The 18,005-nt window shown below is 37.8% G+C and overlaps 1 long non-coding RNA gene across 1 annotated transcript in view; it reads right to left on the bottom strand.

Annotated features, from left to right (window-relative positions):
• Positions 1-6,361: 6,361 nt before the first annotated feature.
• PLPPR5-AS1 (PLPPR5 antisense RNA 1) overlaps positions 6,362-18,005 on the bottom strand; it is a 144,577-nt gene continuing 132,933 nt past the window's right edge. The window contains exons 2-3 of the long non-coding RNA NR_033940.1: positions 11,084-11,178; positions 6,362-8,440 (exon numbers count right to left, since the gene is read on the bottom strand). This is a non-coding gene — a long non-coding RNA (PLPPR5 antisense RNA 1). The remainder of the gene's footprint in view (positions 8,441-11,083; positions 11,179-18,005) is intronic.

The raw sequence follows: 18,005 nt of genomic DNA, 5'->3' as shown, positions 1-18,005 counted from the left end.
GATATTACGTAAATGCATAGATGGATAGATGGTTAAGTCAACCAGATGTGGTGATACATTGCATGAAGGTTTTAGGAAGATAGAGGTGTCAAAGATGATTACCTGATTTGTGATTACCTGGTTTGATGACAACCTGGTTTGTGTAGTCACAAACCAGGGAGCTGGTCATCATCTTTGACACCTATACCTTAGAGGATGGTGTTTCCCTTCACTAAGATGAGACATTTATTTTTGTTGTCGTTCTTAACAAATTTAAATAAGAAAGTATGAAGAGTACGGACAGGAAGGATTTTAAAATAATATTTATAAAAATCAGTCTTTAAAATTTTTAGACTGGCATTATGACCACACATTAGACTTTTCCTATAACAAAAAGACTGGTTTATTATTATAGTACCTTCTACCTTAAGAAAGAATAAAATTATCCCCTAATGGCATATGGTATAATCTTTAGAACTGGGCTAAAGATTTTATTTAATGACAAAATATTCTGCCAAAAAATAATCTGTCTAAAGTGTTTGTTTCATGTGCAATTGGGAAATATTCTGTCAAAAAAAGGTCTTTTCTCTGTGATTTCTTTTTTTAAATTATTTTAAGTTCAAGAGTACATGCGCAGGATGTGCAGGTTTGTTACATAGGTGAGTTAGGGCATTTATTAATGTCACAATGCTTTCCAAAACAATGTATTGTATTGGTCACTGCACGGTGACCTTTTAAAATTAAATGAAGTTTTAAAGCTCACACCATAATTCCAGGTATTACTTTATTTTTGAGGGCTTTATTTTACAGTGCTTTCCATTTAAGCCAGATACATCCTCTATATATAGAAGCTCTTTTATACACTTGGCTGATGTTAGATATTTACTTGCTATAAGTTTACCAAGTTAATCTTGTTAATTTTCCTCACAAAAGCATATCCATAATACATTCTGACCATGAAAATCTTCTTAGCTAGTAATTATGATTAATGAAAATGATGCTGTTTGCCTCAACTCTCATCTGCTCTTTTCTCTCGTTATAAGCCATCTTTATCCTTTGGAGAGAGCAAAGGGAGAAATTTTATTCAATGAGTGGCACATATTTGCAGCTTTCTTACATTAATCTCAAGATAATGAAAATTTAAGAAGGCAAAGATTCTTTCCTCCTGTCTGACTTTTTCACATTATTTCCTGATAACATTTTTTTTAAATGAAATGCACATAATACAAAATTAACCATTTTAAAGGGTAGAATTAAGTTGCATTTGTTGTATTCACAATGTTGTGCAATGATCACCTCTATCAAGTTTCAAAACATTTTTGTCACCCCAAAAGAAAATCTCATACCCATTAAGCATTTACTCCCACTCTTCCTTCTTCCCAGCCACTGGCATTCACCAATCTGCTTTCTGTTGATGTTATGTCTTCTACTACTTCTCAAAATTAACACTTATGTTTAAGTATAAAAATATTTATTCAGAATATGCTTAACATTTAAGTATATTCTTTTGCTATATAAAATTTGAAAGCTCCACCAGCATAAAATTAACATTTATATCTAACCTACAAATTCTAATTTAATGTACTAATTTAAATCTCCCAATTGTTTTAAATATTCAAATTCATTCAACAGAATTATAATAACTCAACACCTTCTACATACTAGGGATCATAAGGATTAAAAGAAATATAATAGTCCAAGCTTGGTGGCTCATGCCCGTAATCCCAGCACTTTGGGAGGCCAAGACAGGCAGATCAAGGTCAGAAGTTTGAGACCAACCTGGGCAACAGAGCAACACTACATCTCTACAAAAAATGCAAAGACAGTTGGGCATGGTGGCGCATGCCTGTGGTCCCAGTTACTCAGGAGGTTGAGGCAGGAGGATTGCTTGTGCCTGGGTAATAGAGCAAGACTCTGTCTCTCTCCCATACATACATACATACATACATACATACATACATACATACATACAAAAAGAAGTATAATACATGGTTCTTACATTCAGGGAATAAATTTTACTAAATTTATTTTGAGTAGTCAGTTTGAATTGTCAGTAGTAAGTTTAAATTCAGAATCTATCTCATTTCTTAGGTGGAGAAACTGAGGCTCATATGCTAGAAAATGTTTCTATATCATGCTCTGTACCAACAAGAAGCTACTGGTTAATCAGGAGTGTTGGCGTTTTATTGTCTGAGTCTATGTATTGTCTGGCAGTCTATTATAAACATGTTTATTTGGTCTAGTATATAGGGAAAAAAAGAATCTGTTTCTCTAGTGGGAGTTATAGTTGGAGTGGAATAATATTCATCCTAAGTAAAATTTAAACGCTGCTATCAATAAGAAAATAAAGCATTTCAAAGTATGAAGACTGGACTATATCTTTATTGGATAAAGATAGATGATAGATAGATAGATAGATATATAGATAGATAGATAGATGATAGATAGACAGATAGATAGATAGATGAAATTTATTTTAGTTCCCAACAACTACTCCATTACTTTTGCAAACAAACGGGAGGATGTGGAGGAGATAGAGAAAATTTATTGACAAGACACTGGACATCTTCAGTAATTTAGAGAGAGTTGAGCAATCTTATCACTTAAATCCAAGGATGCAGGCCCAGTGTCTCTCCTTTTTAGATTTCAAATTCCTAGGGAAAATTTAATTTGCCTGGTTTGGACCAGGTATCTACCAAAAGACTGGTTATTTATGGTGAGTGTTAGAGGAAGAAAACAGACATGCATGGATTCTGGGGATATTCCATTCAGTACAGTTGTATTTTCCAGTAAAGCAGAAATAATGTCTATAGGATAAATAGCTCAAGAGGTTATCTATTACTATTTGTGTTTGTTTCATGTGCAATTGGGAAATATATTGGTTTAAAGGATGTGATGTTACAAGGGTCAGACAAACCACGTTTCACAATTAAGTAGCTTAAAAGGTCAGATAGGGAAAAACAAGATAAAATACCATTAAAGCTGCTTTACACAGCTAGCAATCTTGATCACAAATACAGAATTGCAATGAAATTCTACATCTTTTGGCTATGCAGTCTCTGTATTATAGCTGTATATTTTAGAAATAGGAAAATAAAAACAGAATACTAGTGCAAACTTTCAGATATTACATTTCTGGATTGAAAAATATGACTCCTAATAGAAATACTGATCATATTCATATCTCTCTGAACTCCTGTGGAAAATGTTAATTTCTTCTGCACAACCTGATTACCTACCCAGATGAGCCAGGCTGGATAACCTGCAAACTTAGAGAATATCTTGTTCCTTGATATGATTTAGATTTGTGTCCCTGCCCAAATCTCATGTCAAATTGTAATCCCTAATGTTGAAAGAGGGGCCTGGTGGGAGGTGATTGGATCATGAGGGTGGATTTCCCCTTTGCTGTTCTTGTAATAGTGAGTGAGTGAGTTAGTTCTCATGAGATCTGGTTGTTTAAAAGTGTTTAGCACCATCCCCCCCACCCTCTCTTCCTTTCGCTCTGGCCGTGTAAGACGTGCCTGGTTCCCCTTCGCCTTCTACCATGATTGTGAGTTTCCCCAGGCCTCCTTCGCTATACTTCCTGTGCTGCCTGTGGAACCATGAGCCAATTAAACCCCTTTTCTTTATAAATTACCCAATCTCAGGTATTTCTTTACAGCAGTCTGAGAATGGACTAATACATCTCTTTAACTCAAGAGAAAGACCTGGATTATTTCTTTTCTCCCTGCTCTAAGTCTGGGTGGTACCTAAGTCATGGTAAAGATCCGATGATGCACAACAAATCCTGCAAACCTGCTTCTGCAGAGAAGTTCCATTTTTGTTTGTTTTGCTTTTTGTTTTCTGCTTCAGGCTTAGCTTAAAGAAAGGGCTCTGCTGCTAAAAATAATAGTCAATCGATTGCAATAAACAGGAAGGTTGCAGAAGTTTTTACAAAAGGGGAAGCATTGAAAGGGGTTCAAATAGATGACAAAAAGAGGAAACTCAACTCCAGGTAAAAGGAGACTGTGAATGAAATTCAATCACACAGATGAGGTAGTGATGTAAAGAACTTTCCTACAGCATCACCAAATCACATTTTCTATGTCCCACCATTTTATTAATGCTTTTCCTTTTCAAGAACAATAACTGGAGGTTAAAGAAAAGAAAAGTGAGTAGGGCCTGAAGTCTGAAAACCAGGGTTCCATTATGATTGTGCTATGTAATTGTGATATTGGTAAGCTATTTATGCTTATAAACTTCACTTTTCTTATGTACAAAGAGATCTTGTGACTGTTGCTGATTTTTATTAACTAGGCTGCCATTGTAGAGTTTACATCCAGGAGGGAAATAGGGATAATAGAAAATGTAAACCATGCTACTTGGTGATAAGGACAATAAAATGAAAAAGAGTAATGGTGGTTTGGTTCTGAAGGCCAGTGGAGTCGTGTATGTCCTTTTACAAATAGTAGTTGGAGAGGGCCCCTAAAAGGTTAGCATTTGAGCAAAGACTCGAATGAAGTGATGCACCAAGTCGTGCAGTTTTCTAAGGTAAGAATAGTTCAAGCAAAAGGAATAGCAAATACAAACACTCTGAAATGGGAGATTACTTTGTATAATCTAAGAAGCCAGGATATCTGAAGCAGAGTGACCAAAGGATGAAAATGGCATCAGAAAAGAAGTTGATCTGGGGCTGGGAGGACAGACCAAGTACAGTTTATAGGTTGTGGTGAGGATTTTGGATATTATCATGAGAGACATGGGAAATCATTGAAGGGTTTTGAGCAGAGAAGTGACATAAAATGACATATTTTAAAGAAACCACTAAGGTTGTTCTATGGAGAATAGACAGCATGGGGTCATTAGTACAAGTGGAGGGACCAGTTGGAAAGTTATTGCAACCATCCAGGTGAAATACAATGCTGTTGTACAGATTATTTCTGTAAACTGTAATACACATATTTGTTATTACATTTTTCCTTTTTTTCCATTCCATTCCAGGAAATCCAGTTTAGCTCTGAGTATTTCCTTCTATTTCTTGCTAGATGCAGGAAGAGATGATTGACCCACAATGCAATTTCCATAAATCTGACTCCTGCAATCTAGTTTGCATTATTTTCCAGGCTCTGATCTGTCCTATTGATAAGGATGCACAGCGTTTACGGTGTGAAAATGGCTGAGATGTCAGAAATCACCTAGTGGTATTTTGAAATTTACTTTTTACTTCGTAAGTGCAGGGTTTTCTTTATTAGAAGGAGGTAGATAAGAGACATAATTTCTCTTGGGGCAGATTCCTTTTAGGCATGCATCTGTAATGAAAAGCACCATGGTTAGGGAGGGCTGTTGTACTTTAGAAAATTGTATTAAAACTGGATTAAAGAACATTTTATTATAAATTACATAAAAACATAATCAGTTTTAAAAAATACGGTATAACCCACTCAATTTAAAAGACAGCATATTACAACTTGCACTGCTTGGTTTTAATGGGTTGTTGTGGTGGTAGTCATAAGCTATTGTGCTGAGGCTTATTAATGTAGTTATTCAAATTTTAAAATATGACAACCTTTAAAAAAGATTTATCCCATTTCTTGGCTTAAATACTTATTTTGTGAAGGTGAACAATAAGAGGATTCCTAGTTTTTTGCTTTTGTTTCACTTTTTCTATCCTCAACATAGAACTGATTTAGTACAAAAGCTTTGGTCCAAGAATGGCTTAAATGTCAAACATTCTCAAATCCGTGATCTTCAGAAGTCCCAGGTTCAGGGGAAGCTGCAGTGGGGAATATTAGTTGGGGCAGAGTCTTTAAAAAACTGCTTACAATTCTGTTTTTCAAAACAAAGAATCACCTTATTTGTCCCTCATTTCAAAAGCAGATGGTGATGATTTCAGAAGTGTTGTTTTCCATAGCCACTCACCACTCGTTTGCATTCATCCTGCCACTTCACCTTACAATATTTGCCACCAAGACTTCTATGTTACAGGAAACCACACTTCAAAAAAATTGCCATTTACTGATTTTTACTGAAATGATTCACTTACTACCTGGGTTTTCTGACTTGTTGCCAAACTGCTCTCATTTCTCTACAGTCTCTTTTTAAAAGAAATTTAGAACTGCGAAGTCCCCACTTTTAATCCATTAATATTTTGAATAGACAGTTACCACTCCAGGTACTCCACAATCTTCTTAGCAAATAAAACCATAGACTACACTGGTATACATATGGGTAGGGGGAGGAGTAGAGATATAGAAAGAGGAATCAAGGTAAAGATACAGATGAGTAAAGGATTCAATAGAGGGATGCAAAGTTCAATTTCTATATTTTTCAGAGCAAAAGTACTTCACAAAACATTTTCTAAAAATGATACATGCAAAATTCAATGAAAAACACAACTGGAAATATAGAATATATTTTTATTTCTTTGAAAAGTTATATGAATAATAAAGTAATTTTTACAATTTTACAATATTACGGTAAGTAGTCTTCATGTGTATACAATTTGTGCCTGTTATTATTGGATCTATTGAGTTGTCTTAAAGATTGCTGAGTAGAAGAAAAGTGTAGGATTAGAGCCAAAAGCTTTAAGTTTAAGCCTAGTGGAATGACTTTGGTCATTTAAATTTTCAGAACTTCTTGGATTTCCTTTATTTTTAAACATATAAATTTCCAGTCTCTCTATCTATATTTATATCTGTATCTATACTTATAGGATTGATGTAAGAGTCAAATCGGTAACAAATATATAAGCTTTTTGAAGGAGCAAAATATTCAGCATAAATTTGTGATTGATTTCTTATATTATTACCTTTTCATAAATTAACAAATGATCTCTAGAAAGTGAGGGCAGAATTATGAGAATTTCAGAGGATAAAAATGTAATGCTATGACTTCTACACCCAATTGTGTTATATATATACTATCTTAGTTCTTTCTGGCATATTTCAATCAAATTAAGCTTTCTTAAACTAAGGCATGTATAAAAGAAGAAAGAAGATCTTTTTATTGTGCACAGCTTAGGAAAATATAAAAGCAAGCAAGCTTTGCAACAAATTATTATTTTTCATATTAATTGCATCAGAAATAGTGACTTATATCTTAATATTTCCAGGTGGGATATGCTATTGTTTGAGAAATATTTATTCCCTACCCACACCTAATACCTCCATGGAAGCAGATACTACCTTAAGCCCAGATATTGCCCTGGCCTGTGGACTTCTGCCCAGTAGATGAGAGTGAGAGTGTGCCAAACCTAACCCTTATGAACAACTATTCTCACTACCCTATCTGGGAGTTTCCGATTTTCCTTATGAGAAAATATACTTCAGGATTTTGCTGTACCTCCTGTCTGGGTGCAAAATGAGACACATGGAATGGAATATCTTCACTAGCCTATCTGCAGACCTGCAAGCAAGTGACTAAATGCCTATTGTTGTATGCTACTGATTTTGGAGTGTTTGTTAGGTGGCATTATTATGACAATAGCAAATTATTAATATTATAATTAGTCACTACTAAGCCCTAAATGAGCCTCTGACTTCTCCCCAGCCTAACTTTTAGAGTAGTATTAGCAGGGTAGTCTTTAGAGTTGGAGGGAAGTTTTGGGTCTTCAGAGCAGACACTAGCACCCAAATCACTTATCTTAGTGGAGGGCAGGTAAGGGTAAAAGAACAAATGCTCTTGGTTTAAGATTTGGGAAAATTTAAGTTTACCTAAGTAAGAAAACAAAAACCAAAAACAGCAGATAACTCAGTCTATCTTGGTGGGAGGAATCAAGGAAGGGAATCAAGAGGTTATTAATGTTTAAGGACAATCCCTCCTCCTGGAAACTAGAAAATTAGAGATGAAGTGTACCCTCTTCACAAACATAAACACTTTGTGCTTTTAATACATTGGACTTAACAATTAAGCATAGGTCAAGCAGGAGCATGAGCAAGTTCTGTTATGGGATCCTCGGGGTGTCACTTTTCTGGCCGGAAACCTCTGTGGCCGGTGGCACCTTTGCCTGAGTTCTGGTCCTGTGTCCAGGAAGAATGAGATATGCAGACAAATGCAGGGTGAGCAAGGTGAAGAGGAGCTTTGCTGAGTGTTAGAAACAGCTCAGAAGAGACACACAATGGGTAGCTTCTCTCTGTAGGCAGGCTGTCCTGTTGAGCGTTCAGGTCTCAGCAGAGAGGAAGCCCTGGAGTGAGTGGAGGAGGAGGAGTGGAGGCCCTGGAGTGAGTGAGCAGGAGAAGGCTCCTCTCCGCGGGCAGATCACCCCAACGAGTGTCCAGTTCTCAGTAGAGAAGCCCTGGAGACGGTAGCTCCTCTCTGGAACTGGTAGTCCCATCATCTCTGCAGGTCTCTGAAGTTCTCAGCAGAGAGTTCCTCTCTGCAGCTGGTCACCCAATTATCTGCTTCTGGCTGAGCACGGGTCTTTTGTGGGCCTCAGAGAGGAGGAAGTGGATGCCAATTGCTCCATGAGTAGCCATGGGGGGACCTGGAAAAGGCACCACAAGTTCCCACTTTGGTCCATGGGACTGGCAGCCTGATCCTAGCCTCAGGCCCTCCCTGGCCTGAAGGTGGAGCCTCATGAGGGACCCGCCCCTTCTGTCCGGAAATCTGTCTGCCTCCTGCTGCTGTTCATCACCCCCAACGCGCAGCAGGACAATGCCCTAAGATCCAGCAGGTGCCAACAGCAGGGATAAGCCAGGCAGCGGGAGCAGGCACTTCTGAACCTGCGAGAGCACAGGTTCCCCCAGGCCCCCAAGAGCACAGAGAGGCTGGATCCACAACTGCAATTTGGGCAGCTGCAGCCCTTCCGAGGAGGGCAGGGCTCCAGCCTGGTCCCTGGAGCAGGAGACCTGGGTCTGCAGCCACAGTTTGGGTGACGGCACCCAGGAAGTTCCCACTCCAACTTGGATGGGGCGGGGCTCCCGCTGGCTCCATGAAGCGTGCAGCCTGGGCAGCGCCTCCCCACTGCAGCCAGGTGATGGCAAAAGCAGGCTTTCTGGCCTCTGCCATCAGTTCCTCAAAGACAGAGGTCCGCAGCCTGTCAGGCAGTTCGGCTTCTACCTTCATAAGCCCCTCCTTCTATTCCAACCACTGCACCTCTCTAGATCCTCCTGGTAGACAGTACACATTTTACTCAGGAAGACTCTGAAGTGACTCACTATTGTAATTAATTAAATTGAATCCAAGGTAATGTTAAATTCAAAGCCAAATGTTTATTTTTGATTTATGTTCTCTTCTAAAATATGACTACCCATGTGGTTAGCATAACAATGAAATTAAGATCTTCTAATAATCAGTGAAAACATTCTTGAGATGCTAAAAATTTTTACTGTAAACTTTGTCATATTACCACATTTCCTGGGAGAAATTAATTCTAAAGATTAACTGTCTTTATAAATCCAAAATTAAAGTCTAAAATGAATTCAAATCTGATATCAAATTATCTTGTCTTATGAATAAAATGTTCAAGGAAATAAAGGTCTTCCATCTGTCCTCTGAAACATTTAATTCTGCCCCCTCTCAGCTAGAAAATTCATGTTGGGTGGATTTGGGGTTTCTTCAACTGCTGCATTCTAGACTGTCTCTTAAGAGAATGGGGGATTATTTTAATGGAATGAGGGATTATTCCAGAGTCTCAGAATTAACTATTTAGTCACTGACATTATGCTAAGGAAGCTGAAAGATTTAAGAAGGACATGAAAGATTTTATAGCTGTTCTCCCCTTTCCAAGATTTTAAATGAGTGACTCTCTAGCCCCTAACGAATTAGCTCAGGCAGCACTGTGATCCTAGACACCTGCTTGTACTTAATGTTGGCCACAACAGCAGCAGGAGCACAGTGGCATATAGGTGAAGGGGATAGATAAAAACAAATCTTGATTTTAGGCTGATTCTATGCAGTTTGCCAGAATCAATGGCCGGTGGAATAAAACTTACTGGAGAGAAATCCCTCTACGAGAGGTTAATTTTGACATTACGGAATTCTCATCTCTAGGGAAATAAAATATATTTCTCTGTGTAAAATCTCTTAATTTCCATTTTGCTTTTGAACACTGAGTTTCTGGTATCCTCACACTGAATTGAATGTGGGTGTAGGATCTATCCACACACCCTCAAGAGCAGGCTTTGGCAGACTTTTGCCATCATGGCTATTGTCACTGCTTTTTGCATGCACCTGTTTGGACCTATCTCCCGAAATCTATCTCCTAGGAAGGTTTTCTCTTCATCCCTACATTTGTTTAAATGGAGAAATCCTTTCCTCAGATTCTTAAGTTGTTAACGCTATTTTTAAAAATTTATTTATTTGTTCGTTTGTTTGTGCTGCAGTCATAGATCACTGCAGCCTCAAACTCCTGCGCTCGAGCAATCCTTTAACCTCAGCTTCCCGAGTAGGCACATGCCACGACACCTGGCTAATATTTTTAATTTCTTTCTTTTTTTTTTGTAGAGACAGGGTTTCACTATGTTGCCCACGCTGGTATCAAACTCCTGGGCTCAAGCAACCCACTGGCCTTAGCCTCCCTAACTGCTGGGATTACGGATGTGAGCCATTGTGCCAGCCAATTGTTGCTGCTATGGATGCTTCTGAAGCTGTGTCCCTGAGGGCCTGAAAAGAATCAATACCTCTGCCATGTGCCCGCAAGATTCCATACACATTGGATTTGGTAACCCTAAAGCCATGGTCAGAGCTTGCGTTATTAACTAATCCAGACCAGTTGGAGACCACATGCTAGGGGCATCATACTGGAGCGTCTGAACCAGCCACATGAATCCGAGATTTGTCCCTCCATGGGACTATGGGTGTAGGATGGGATTTGGAGCAGTTTTCTAACACTCTTTAGGGCTAACACCAACAATTTCAAATCAGAAATTCACTAGTTCACAGGGACACCAGCTTCTTTGCAATTAAAAGTAGGAACTATGATGCTGCCTCCCAGTGCATGAAAATAAATTGAATTCTATGTCAGCCTCTCCAGCAATAGGCAGAGCAGACTGCCCCTTTGGGGACAAGAGGATAAGCTGCAGCAGCTTAGGGTCTGTGAGCCCTGCATGCTTTTTAGTTAAGGCCACTTGCCCACAATCCTTCCTATATAAAAGCAGCCACTCACCTCTGGGCAAACCTGCCATACCTGCAGTAATGCAGCAAGGTCAAAATCTTGCCTGGTTTGCCTGCTTGATGTCCAAGGCTTAAAGTCACTGGCTCAGGCTGCAGCCATCGGTATACCTGGAAAAATACAGCATGATATACACCAGCAACACCTGCTAGAGTCACAAACCCACACGCTCTGTACTTTGTCAAGCCTCAGCAAAGCTTGAAAGCATTCACTCTAACAACACTAGAAGTCTATTTTTTTTTCTTTCCTTAAGCTAAATACCAGACCTCGTTGATCTTTCAGGTAGCCTCACCCACCCAGTCACAGGAAGCACAAGACAATATAGGTGCCTACTGGAGGGAGAAGGCAGTTACTACCAGTTTACTGCATATTTGAGAGTAGATCAATTGCATGCTTTCTGCAGGCAAGCCAATTCCAAGGAGAAAGAAAAGAGTAATAGGTGGAGCTCAACCCAGTTCTTCCTGTCAAATCTATTAATGACTGTAAGGAGGTGTTGAGAGGCAAGAAGTGCTTAGAGAAATTCAGAAGGAAGGGGGAGGAGTCTCACTGGTCCCTCAAAGTAAGGGTTCAGATTTATTATTTTTTTCTAAGCATCTGTCATTAAAACACACTTTTCCCCACTGATTTGAAGTACCACATTTCAATTACTTCATTTATTTTTATTCATAGGCCTACAATTGTCCATTCATTCACCAGTTCCCAACTGTTTAAATTATAAAGGTGTTAAAGATTATATTTTAAATATTTAAGTAGATCATTATTCCCTCTTGCTCTTTTCCCACACTAATTTGATGGATATTTATGTGATCATTTTCTTACATTTAAAAGTAATAATTTTCTGATATTTTGAAATCAGATTATAGATGTGGCATAGGATTCTAATACAATAAACACTTTATAACATATACTTATTTGTACTTTTTTTCCTTCAACTTCTAGACTTTGAGCTCCAAAAGGACAAGGAGGACTTATTTTCAGCTCTGCATTTTATACAATAGTTCCCACCTATGTTGTGATTGAAACAACAAGTTTTTTAAAGAATATATCATTCTTTGTACACCACTGCCTTTTTAAAAGTATCCTCTACTTAGATTCCTTTTCTCTAACTTTTCTATCAGCCGTATTCTGTTTATTCTGCCATAACCACACAGAATGTAAACTCCTCTGAGAAGCCTTCATTTATGCTTGCCCAGGTAGAATCTTAGCCTCTCCTCTAGAATGCTGTATTACTATCTATTGGTCTCTATTTTATCCTCATCATCTTTAACTGTGTTTTTATTTATCTATCTTCCTAGAGATAACAAGTTAGGCTATTGATAGAAGAACTGTAATATTCATGGTTTTTTTTTTCACCCTGGATATTCCCTGACATATACATTTGATAAATGAATGAATGTAATGAATGCGAATTGCTTTTGCTTTGTAATATTTGTCACAATTAAGAATAAATTTTGTGTAACAATTCTATTTTTTAATGAATGCTGTTAAAAATAATTGTAACTGGGGGGCTATTAGATTGGCATGGCTCTAGCGCTTTGAGTTCCTACCAAAGCAAATCAAACCTCTAGCCATTGAGAAACTATCAACTAACCTCCAACTAGGAACTTGCCACTCTAACCAATTATATAATTGTTTGTCTTGCTTGTGCCAACACTTCATAAGTTTCCTTTCTCACTTCTCCAGCGGAGTGCCAAACTATTTGCAGTCCAGTGCTGCCCGATTTATGAATCACTGAATGCTCAAATAAACTCTTTAAAATTTGAATGCAACTAAGCTTATTTTTTAACAATGTCTTTCTCATTAGATAGTAAGCTCCAGGAGATCAGGGACCACGTCAATCTTGTTTACCATTGTATTGTCTGGTTCTGGAACAGAGTAGCTTGTCAAAAAATATTTATCAAATAAATTGTTATTATTTCTTAGTGATATTATGAGACCTTAGCAAATGTTTATGTGAAACATTTGCATAGAAAAATTATTATATATAAATGATCAATACACATTTCAGAAAATAACCCCATTTTATAATGGGAGTCTTTAAAGTCCTTATTTTTTACATTTTTATTTTTGTTTTTTTTGAATAAATAAGTGTTTATGGAGCTTACTCTACAGTAATGTCCAATACTGTACAAAATTGTACAGTAATGTCCTAGGTCTTAACATTCACTCAGCATTCACTCAATGACTTACCTGAGAGAAACTTCCAGTCCTGCAATCTCCATTCATGGTAAATGCCCTATATATGTGTGCCATTTTAATCTTTTATACAGTATTTTTACTGTGCTTTTTTTCTTCTTCTTCTTCTTCTTTTTTTTTTTTTTTGGAGACCGAGTCTCATTCTGTTGCCCAGGCTGGAGTGCAGTGGCGTGATCCCGGCTCACTGCAACCTCTGCCTCCTTGGTTGAGAATAAATCTGGATATATACCCCTGGAATATTATTTTTCAGAATTATTGATTATTTTACAGACCCTTTCTTATTAAAACAACTATAAATATTCAATACAAAAATCTAAATGCAATGACAAGATTTCTTCGGGAAGTAACAAGTGAAATAGAATAGTCCGTCTCTACTAAATACACAAAAAATTAGCTGGGCTTGGTGGCCTGTGCCTGTAATCCCAGCTACTCAGGAGGCACTGTCGCCCAGGCTGGAGTGCAGTGGCGCGATCTCAGCTCACTGCAACCTCCGACTCCCAGGTTCAAGCGATTCTCGTGCCTCGGCCTCTTGAGTGGCTGGGACTACAGGTGCCCGCCACCACGCCTGGCTAATTTTTTGTATTTTTAGTAGAGACGGGGTTTCACCATCTTGGCCAGGCTGGTCTTTAACTCCTGACCTCATGATCCACCCACCTCTGCCTCCCAAAGTGCTGGGATTATAGGCGTGAGCCACTGCGCCTGGCCTAAAGTCCTTATTTTAAAAGTCATCAAGAGACTGTGATCACAGAAGATATCCTTCAGGAAAGTAACACATCTTGCTCTAAGTCAAGATATGATGGGAAATCTATTCATAAAACATTGATAGGGTGCATATAAATAGGCTTTTAGCCATTGAAACAGCAGCCATAGGTTTACTGTGTCAACAGAAATGTATTAACATGACAGCTGGATAAAATAACATAAAATGAGCCATAATACTGCTTCATTTTTATTTCACTTGTTACTTCCTGAAGAAATCTTGTCATTGGATTTAGATTTTTTTATTGAATAGTTATGTTGTTTTAATAAGAAAGGGTCTGTAAAATGATCAATAATTATGAAAATAATATTCCAGGGGTATATATCCAGAACAGCACACTTCTAAGGGAAAAATGCTTCCAAAAATATAGAAATTACTGGATCTCCATATACATGACAGAAAATATCTAGATGCCATTATTAAACAATGTACTAACCACGAACCATCAGTAAGTCATTATTGTTAATATGCATGATACGTATTGTACTTAATATATGATTATAGGAAAGGAAAAATAGTTTTCTCTTATTCTTTCTGAGTTCTCAGATGGAAACCCCTGTAACAAAAGACAGATTAACAGGAGAAAAACAAGCAGAAGTTTTTTAACATGTATATTTTATATATAAAGTCATATATCACTTAATGCAGGGATATTGTCTGAGAAATGTGTCATTAGGTGATTTGATTGCTCTGCATACATCATAGAGTATACTTACACACACTTAGATGGTAGAGCCTACTATACACCCAGGCTACATGATATAGCCTATTGCTCTTGGGCTACAACACTGTATAGCATGTTACTTTGCTGAATACCGTAGACATTATAACACAATGGTAGGTATTTATGTATCAAAATATATCTAAACATAAAAAAGGCACAGTAGGCAGGGCTTGCTGACTCATGCCTGTAATCCCAGTACTCTGGGAGGCCGAGGTGGGTAGATCACCAGAGGTCAAGAGTTCGACATCAGCCTGGCTAACATGGCGAAATCTCGTCTCTACTAAATATACAAAAAATTAGCTGGGCGTGATGGTGTGTGCCTGTAATCCCAGCTACTCAGGAGGCTGAGGCAGGATAATCCTTGAACCCAGGAGGGAGAGGTTGCAGTGAGCCGGGATCGCGCCACTGCACTCCAGCCCGGGTGACAGAGTGAGAATCGGTCTCCAAAAAAAAAAAAAAAAAAAAAAAAAAGGCACAGTAAAAATACTGTATAAAAGGTAAAAATGGCACACCTATATAGGGCATTTACCATGAATGGAGATTGCAGGACTGGAAGTTTCCCTCGGGTAAGTCATGGAGTGAATGTTAAGACCTAGGACATTACTGAACAGTTTTGCACAGTAATGTACACTACTGTACAGTAAGCTTCATAAACACTGCATACTTAGGCTACACTAAGTTCATTAAAATATGTTTCTTTCTTTAATAATGAATTAACCTTACTTATCATAACTTTTTTACTTTACAAACTTTCCAATTTTAACTTTTTGACTCTTTTGTAATAAGGCTTAGCTTAAAACATAAACACTTTGTACAGCTGTGCAAAAATATATAAATATTTTTGGATGGAGTTTCACTCTTGTCGTCCAAGCTGGAGTGCAATGGTGTGATCTCGGCTCACTGCAACCTCTACCTTCTGGGTTCAAGTGATTCTCCTGCCTCAGCCTCCCAAGTAACTGGGATTACAAGCATGCACCACCACACTTAGCTAATTTTTGTATTTCTAGTAGAGACCGAGTTTCATCACATTGGCCAGGCAGGTCTCGAACTCCTGACCTCAAGTGATCCACCCACCTTGGCCTCCCAAAGTGCTGGGATTACAGGTGTGAGTCACTGCGCCCAGCCAAAATTATTTTCTTTATGTCCTTATTCTATAAACTTTTTTCTACTTTTCAATTTTTTTATTTTACTTTTTAATTTTTAAACATTTTTGTCAAAAACTAAGACACAAACACACACATTAGCCTAGGGCTACAGAGAGTCAGGGTTATATATATCACTGTCTTTTCATGTCTTGTCCCACTGGAAGGTCTTCAGGGGCAATAACTTGCATGGAGCTATCTCCTCTGAATGGCTTCTTCTGGAATACCTCCTGAAGAATTGCCTGAGACTGTTTTACAATGAACTTACGTTTATAATAAGTAGAAAGAGTACACTCTAAAATAATGATAAACAGTATAGTATAGTAAATACACAGACCAGTAATACATTTATTATCAAGTATTATGTATCATACCTAATTGTATGTGCTATAATTTTATATGACTGACAATGCAGTAGGTTTCTTTACACCAGCATCACCACAAGTATGTGAGTGTCAAGGAAAAGAGTCAAACTCTGTAAAATATTTGAAAGGATTTATTCTGAGCCAAATATGAATGACCATGGCCCATGCCACAGCCCTCAGGAAGTCTTGAGAACATGTGCCCAGTGTGTTTGGGGCGCAGCTTGGTTTTACACATTTTAGGGAGGCATGAGACATCAATCAAATATATTTAAGAAATACATTGGTTTGGTCTAGAAAGGTGGGACAACTCAAAGCACGGGCTTCCAGGCTATAGGTAAATTTAAACATTTTCTAGTTGACAATTGGTTGAGTTTGTCTAAAGACCGGGGTTTGATAGAAAGGAAATGTTCAGGTTAAGATAAAAGATTGTGGAGACCAGGGTTCTTTTGAAGTCTTATAGTGGCTGTCCTTAGAGACAATAGATGACAAATGTTTCCTATTTAGATCTTTAAAAGGTGCTAGACTTTTAGTTAATCTTTTTACGATTGGGAGGGCCTGGAATAAAAAGATCTAGCTATGTTACCAGAGATTCTTTACAGGTGCAAATTTTCCCCCTATAAAGGACAGCTTTGCAAAGCCATTTCAAGATATGGCAAAGAAACATGGTTGGGGTAAAATATTTTGATTTTCTTCCTTGTCTTGTAATGTTATGCCAGAGTTGGGTTGGAAAAGTAAGTCATGATATATAGGGTTAAATAAAACTCATCTGATGAGAATTTATGATTTGTAGGGCATAACTCCCAAAACCCCTTAGATAGGAATTTGGGCAAGATAAAACTCTGAGTTTAGTCCTCATGAGCAATGTGTTGCACTGTGATGTTATGATGGTTATGACATCAGTAGGCGATGGAAATTTTTCAGCAAAGGTAGGACCACTGTCATATACATGGTTTGTTGTTTACTAAAAGGTTGTTATGTGGTGTATGACTGTACATGGGAGATACCCAAAGAAGTGAGTAAATCTCAAAGAGGTGGCTTAGAATTGAGACTTAAATACCATCCTCAGAGGAAACAAAGAAAAGAGGGTAAGGGAAGGCTGGTTAGGGAGGTAACCAGAAAAAGTAGAGTAAAACAAGAGTAAGGTTTGTTATGCAGATTTAAATTGGTTACTTTTCCATTGATAAGATTTTCTGGTGATTTAGTCATCCTTCTGCTGATACAGAAAGAGAGACATCCTTACAAATGCAGATTTCCTTTATAAATGTAAATTGCTCTTACAAAAGGGTAATTTCTACTCTCTTTTCAGGGCTTCTTATGTGTTAGCTATTTCTAAAAATAATCAGCTCAAAATAATTCTTATGGCAAAGAGGCATATTTTGGGGTGGCATATTCTGGTTTCCTGCATGATCATATATACTATATTTGTATGAATAACTGCAAGCATGAATCCTAATAATAAAATCCCAGGAGCATTTAAAATAAATCTTTCTAGATCCTATTAAGAATACATTTGAAAACTTAACTGTAAAAACTTTTTGGAAAACTTGGTTATAATAATAGCCCAATGGGTTCTTCCTGTCCACTCCATAGACAATGATCAATTCACTGAGACAGTGACATTGTAGTAGAGAAAGGTTTTAATTGACATGAGGCTAGCCACATGGGAGACTGGTTTATCACTCAAACCAGCCTCCCGAAAGTCTCAGAGGTTGGGGTTTCTATGGACGATTTGGTGGGCAGGGAGATAGGG

Source organism: Homo sapiens, chromosome 1 (genome assembly GCF_000001405.40).
Source record: "Homo sapiens chromosome 1, GRCh38.p14 Primary Assembly".
NCBI classification, from domain to species: Eukaryota; Metazoa; Chordata; class Mammalia; order Primates; family Hominidae; genus Homo; species Homo sapiens.
Note: the sequence above shows the minus strand (reverse complement) of the source record. Positions and strands in the feature narration are given on the sequence as shown.